The sequence below is a fragment of the Homo sapiens genome, chromosome 11, assembly GCF_000001405.40.
Source record: "Homo sapiens chromosome 11, GRCh38.p14 Primary Assembly".
Classification (NCBI taxonomy): domain Eukaryota; kingdom Metazoa; phylum Chordata; class Mammalia; order Primates; family Hominidae; genus Homo; species Homo sapiens.
Window position 1 is genome coordinate 56,053,986 of NC_000011.10, and position 5,643 is coordinate 56,059,628.

Genomic DNA, 5,643 nt, shown 5'->3' on the forward strand with positions numbered 1-5,643 from the left:
TATGTCATAGGATGAGTGGACATTCTACTCATTCTACTTGAGATTTGCTACCAGTCACATCGGGATTTAAATGTTAATTCTACCTTTAATAGTTTTGAAATATAAGAGCTTTCTTACCCCCCTCCCACATTTTGTGATGTGAAAACTAAAAACCAAGGAATAAAACAATCTCTAGTACCAAAAATTTGAATCACTATACATAGATTGTCTAGCACATATATGAGCCACTTCTAAAGTAAATGTTCTTTCTTTATTTAAGTACAGGGTAACCCTAAATGTCCCATGCTGTTCTGGATACTGGATCATGAAGGAATCATTCCTTTTCCATCAGAGTAATATCTTGTTCTGCAACTAAGGAATTATATATACCTGAGTAAAAACGAGAGGCTGGAATCATACAGGTGCAAAGGAATTCCTCCTGGTAGGGTTAACTGAAAATCCTAATTTGCAGATCCCACTCTTTTTGCTTGTCACTCTGATTTATTTCATCACTTTGTTGGATAATTTGGGTATAATTATTTTAATCTGGTTAAATGCCCAACTTCATACTCCAATGTACTTCTTCCTTGGCAACCTCTCCTTTTGTGATATCTGCTACTCTACTGTCTTTGCTCCTAAGATGCTAGTCAATTTCCTATCAAAACATAAGTCCAGTACATTTTCTGGCTGTGTTCTACAGAGTTTCCCTTTTGCAGTATATGTAACCACAAAGGACATTCTCCTGTCCATGATGGCTTATGACCATTACGTGGCCATAGCTAATCCCTTGTTGTATACAGTCATTATGGCCCAAAAAGTTTGTATTCAGATGGTCCTTGCTTCTTACTTAGGTGGGCTCATTAATTCCCTGACACACACAATAGGTTTGCTCAAATTAGACTTCTGTGGTCCTAATATTGTGAATCATTATTTCTGTGATGTTCCTCCTCTTCTGAGGCTTTCTTGCTCTGATGCTCATATCAATGAAATGCTGCCCTTGGTCTTCTCTGGGCTCATTGCAATGTTCACTTTCATTGTCATTATGGTGTCTTATATCTGCATCATCATTGCCATCCAGAGAATCCATGCAGCTGAGGGAAGGTACAAAGCCTTCTCCACTTGTGTCTCCCACCTAACCACGGTGACCTTATTCTATGGGTCTGTTTCTTTTAGTTATATCCAGCCAAGTTCTCAGTATTCCTTGGAACAGGAGAAGGTCTTGGCTGTGTTTTATACACTGGTGATCCCCATGCTAAACCCACTTATTTATAGCCTGAGAAATAAGGATGTAAAAGATGCAGCCAAAAGGTTGATATGGTGGGGGAAAAACCCCACTTGACTCAGTCCTGCATATAGCTTTGCTAACCTAACATTTACCTGCAAATATATGGCCTATCTTTAAAATGATATCAAACAATTATAAATAAAACTATACTCCAGATGCTCTTGTACAGTTTGGATCAGGAATGATGAGTTTGACTTGAAGACTGAAAATCACTTTATTTCACAATTTATTGTGTTGATGACTTAATAAAATCATTATTTCAAAAGATGAGACTTTTTTTTTCTAACAGATTTTCATGCTGAACTCTGAAAAAGCTCACCATGGATTTAAAGAAGGTGTCACTGATTCAAATCAAAGTAATACTCTAACAATAGGTGTTTATTAATTCATCTCAGAGGAAATTTTCAGATAAAAATTCACATGTTCCCATGGTATGACTTTCTTAGATTATACTATTATGTCTTATTCTAAAAGGGCTGTCATTCAATTAAAAATGAATATCTTCCATTTTGTCTTTAATTTGCATTTCTTAATAGTATCTTAGAAAAAATGGCTATAGGAAATGAGTCCTTTTCCATAGTAATTTATTATTATTTATGGTTTACTATAAACTATAGTATTTATAATTTACTCTTATTATTATTTATGTTTACTCATTCAACACACTTCTACTGTGCCAGTCACTTTGTATGTGTGATATAAACCTAAAAACACTTAAACTGTGAACAAAAAGTTGTTAGAGGAAAGAAGAATGGATAAATCTGGTAAAAGGGAGGGATTATTTAAAGATTAAAAAGTATATGTTTGGCTCTAGCATGGAATTTTTAAGCAAAAGCAATATGTTGTGCCCAAGTGAGTCAAAACATATGCCACACTTTGAGACAAATTAAGAGTCCTTTATTAAGCTGGCTGCCAAAGAGACGGCTAATGCTCAAAATTCTCTCAGCCCCAAGGAAGGGGCTTGATTAACTTTTATACCTAGGTTTAGGAAGGGGAGGGGGACTTAAATGCAATAATTCTACAGAAGTAAAAACATGCAAGAATCAAAAGAAGCAAAATGGTTACAGAGAGATAAACAACTTAAAAGACAAATGGTTATAAGAAGAGCAATGGTACCAGGTGCAAGGTTCTAAATCTTTCATTATAATTAGATATAGGGTCTATGCCGGACGGACACGAACTCAAGGCTTTATGTTGTTATCTCTTTGAGAAAAATCCTGGGAACTTCATACGTAGATGGTGTTAGTACCTTATCAGTTAATTGGGCTCTTTTAAAATGCTGAGGATCTGTTTACCCATGCCAACTCCTTAGGAAAGGGGGTTGGGTAAGGAGCCCTTAGTGTCTTGTAAATTCAGGGGTCAATTGGAGTTTGTCCAGCCTTCCCAGCTAGAGAGAGTCTTATTCACATGAGAAGCAAGGCTAGGTGATTAAAGAGACAAGCAGGACAAAATTCAAAGTAAGGAGTTAGTTAGAGTAAAAACAAGGTTAGGCATTTCAATAGACAATAAGGTTGGCTGGCAGATTATATAGAACCAAATGTATGAAAGTCCTTTAATGATAAGATAACACGTTTTAAGGCTCAATGGCTAATAAATGAAGCTCTAAATGAAATGTGAATTATATGCTTTGGGAAAGTTTCCATGATTCCATTGTTATCAAAATATTGGTAGGTAAAATAACAGGTTGGGAAAAATTACTCTGAACCTATAGGGAAAAGAATACTACGAGACAGATAAGAAGTGCTATGGGTGAGTAACAGAGAGAATGAGACATATTCCAGAGAAAATTAATGAAAATCATCAAAAGGACTTCAGAAATCATTAGACTTGTGGTTTTTGTTTTGATTTTGAGAGAAAAGCATTTACAATGACACAGATTTTGAACTTGTGTCACTAGTATGATAAAATTTTTAGGAGATAAAGAAATATGATGTAAGAATCTGAGTGCCATTAAAATTCCTAAAGGAAGAGCTTTCTGGAAAAAAGGTATAGCCAAGAACAAATTCCAAGAGGTAGGAAGTATCCTGGATTGCTTATAAAACAACAAAAAGGATAGGACTGGAGTAAACAGAGGAAGGAGGAAAAAGTCAAAATAGTAGAACAGATCATGTGGGATATAAAACTATAAAAACCCTAGAAGAAAACCTAGGTAATAGCATTCAGGACATAGGCATGGGCAAAGACTTCATGTCTAAAACACCAAAAGCAATGGCAACAAAAGCCAAAATTGACAAATGGGGTCTAATTAAACTAAAGAGCTTCTGCACAGCAAAAGCAACTATCATCAAAGGGAACAGGCAACCTTCAGAATGGGAGAAAATTTTTGCAATCTAGCCATCTGACAAAAAGCTAATATCCAGAATTTACAAAGAACTTAAACAAATTTACAAGAAAAAAAACCCAACAACTGTGGGAAAAGAAAGAGAGATCAGACTGTTACTGTGTCTATGTAGAAAGTAGACATAAGGGACTCCATTTTGTTCTGTACTAAGAAAAATTATTTTGCCTTGAGATGCTGTTAATCTGTAACCCTACCCCCAACCCTGTGTCGCAGAGACATGTGCTGTGTCAACTCAAGGTTAAATGGATGAAGGGCTATGCAGGATGTGCTTTGTTAAACAAATGCTCGAAGGCAGCATGCTTGTTAAGAGTCATCACCACTCCCTAATCTCAAGTACCCAGAGACACAAAACACTGCAGAAGGCCGCAGGGACTTCTGCCTAAGAAAGCCAGGTATTGTCCAAGGTTTCTCCCCATGTGATAGTCTGAAATATGGCCTCATGGGAAGGGAAAGACCTGACTGTCCCCCAGTCCGATACCCATAAAGGGTCTGGGCTGAGGAGGATTAGTAAAAGAGAAAGGCCTCTTTGTAGTTGAGATAAGAGGAAGGCATCTGTCTCTTGCTCGTCCCTGGGCAATGGAATGTCTCAGTGTAAAACCCGATTGTATATTCCATCTACTGAGATAGGAGAAAACCGCCTTAGGGCTGGAGGTGGGACATGCTGGCAGCAATACTGCTCTTTAAGGCATTGAGATGTTTATGTATATGCACATCAAAAGCACAGCACTTTTTTCTTTACCTTGTTTATGATGCAGAGACATTTGTTCACAGGTTTTCCTGCTGACCTTCTCTCCACTATTACCCTATTGTCCTGCCACATCCCCCTCTCCAAGAAACGCCCAATAATGATCAATAAATACTAAGGGAACTCAGAGACTGGTGCCTGCGCGGGTCCTCTGTATGCTGAGCGCCAGTCCCCTGGGCCCACTTTTCTTTCTCTATACTTTGTCTCTGTGTCTCTTTCTTTTCTCAAGTCTCTCATTCCACCCGACGAGAAACGCCCACAGGTGTGGAGGGGCAGCCACCCCTTCAAACAACCCCATCAAAAAGTGGGCCAAGGATATGAGCAGACACTTCTAAAGAAGACATTTATGCAGCCAGCAAACATGAAACAAAGCTCCTTATCACTGGTCATGAAAGAAATGCAAATCCAAACCAAAATGAGATACCATCTCACACCAGTTAGAATGGTAATCATTAAAAAGTCAGGAAACAACAGATGCTGGAGAGGATGTGGAGAAGTAGGAATGCTTTTACACTGTTGGTGGGAGAGTAATTTAGTTGAACCATTGTGGAAGACAGTGTGGTGATTCCTCAAGGGTCTAGAACTAGAAATACCATTTGACCCAGCAATCCCATTACTGGGTTTATACTCAAAGAATTATAAATCATTCTACTATAAAGACACATGCACACCTATGTTTATTGTGGCACTGTTCACAATAGCAAAGACTTGGAACCAACCAAAATGTCCATCAATGATAGGCTGATTAAAGAAAATGTGGCACATATACACCGTGGAATGCTATGCAGCCATAAAAAAGGATGAGTTCATGTCCTTTACAGGGACATGGATGAAGCTGGAAACCATCATTCTTAGCAAACTAACACAAGAACAGAAAACCAAACACTGCATGTTCTCACTCATAAGTGGGAACTGAACAATTAGAACACATGTTTCATGTGCATCTGTGTGAAGAGACAACCAAACAGGCTTTGTGTGAGCAACATGGCTGTTTATTTCACCTGGGTGCAGGCGGGCTGAGTCCGAAAAGAGAGTCAGCGAAGGAAGATAAGGGTGGGGCCATTTTATACGATTTGGGTAGAGAAAGGAAAATTACAGTCGAAGGGGGTTGTTCTCTGGTGGGCAGGAGTGGGGGTCACAAGGTACTCAGTGGGGGAGCTTTTGAGCCAGGATGAGCCAGGAGAAGGAATTTCACAAGACAATGTCATCAGTTAAGGCAGGAATAGGCCATTTTCACTTCTTTTGTGGTGGAATGTCATCAGTTAAGGCAGGAACCGGCCATCTGGATGTGTA

The 5,643-nt window shown here is 38.6% G+C and overlaps 1 pseudogene, besides 3 other annotated features; it reads left to right on the top strand.

Moving 5' to 3' along the window:
• On the top strand, positions 380-1,315 carry OR5AQ1P (olfactory receptor family 5 subfamily AQ member 1 pseudogene; annotated as a pseudogene).
• Positions 2,050-3,035: an enhancer, noted in NCBI's record as "OCT4-NANOG-H3K27ac hESC enhancer chr11:55823511-55824496 (GRCh37/hg19 assembly coordinates)". NCBI's record gives its function as "activates a minimal SCP1, AML or CMV promoter by ChIP-STARR-seq in primed H9 embryonic stem cells {active_cell/tissue: H9 hESC(primed)}" and the evidence as "EXISTENCE:reporter gene assay evidence [ECO:0000049][PMID:30033119]".
• Positions 3,036-4,021: an enhancer, noted in NCBI's record as "OCT4-NANOG-H3K27ac hESC enhancer chr11:55824497-55825482 (GRCh37/hg19 assembly coordinates)". NCBI's record gives its function as "activates a minimal SCP1, AML or CMV promoter by ChIP-STARR-seq in naive and primed H9 embryonic stem cells {active_cell/tissue: H9 hESC(naive and primed)}" and the evidence as "EXISTENCE:reporter gene assay evidence [ECO:0000049][PMID:30033119]".
• Positions 4,022-5,007: an enhancer, noted in NCBI's record as "OCT4-NANOG-H3K27ac hESC enhancer chr11:55825483-55826468 (GRCh37/hg19 assembly coordinates)". NCBI's record gives its function as "activates a minimal SCP1, AML or CMV promoter by ChIP-STARR-seq in naive H9 embryonic stem cells {active_cell/tissue: H9 hESC(naive)}" and the evidence as "EXISTENCE:reporter gene assay evidence [ECO:0000049][PMID:30033119]".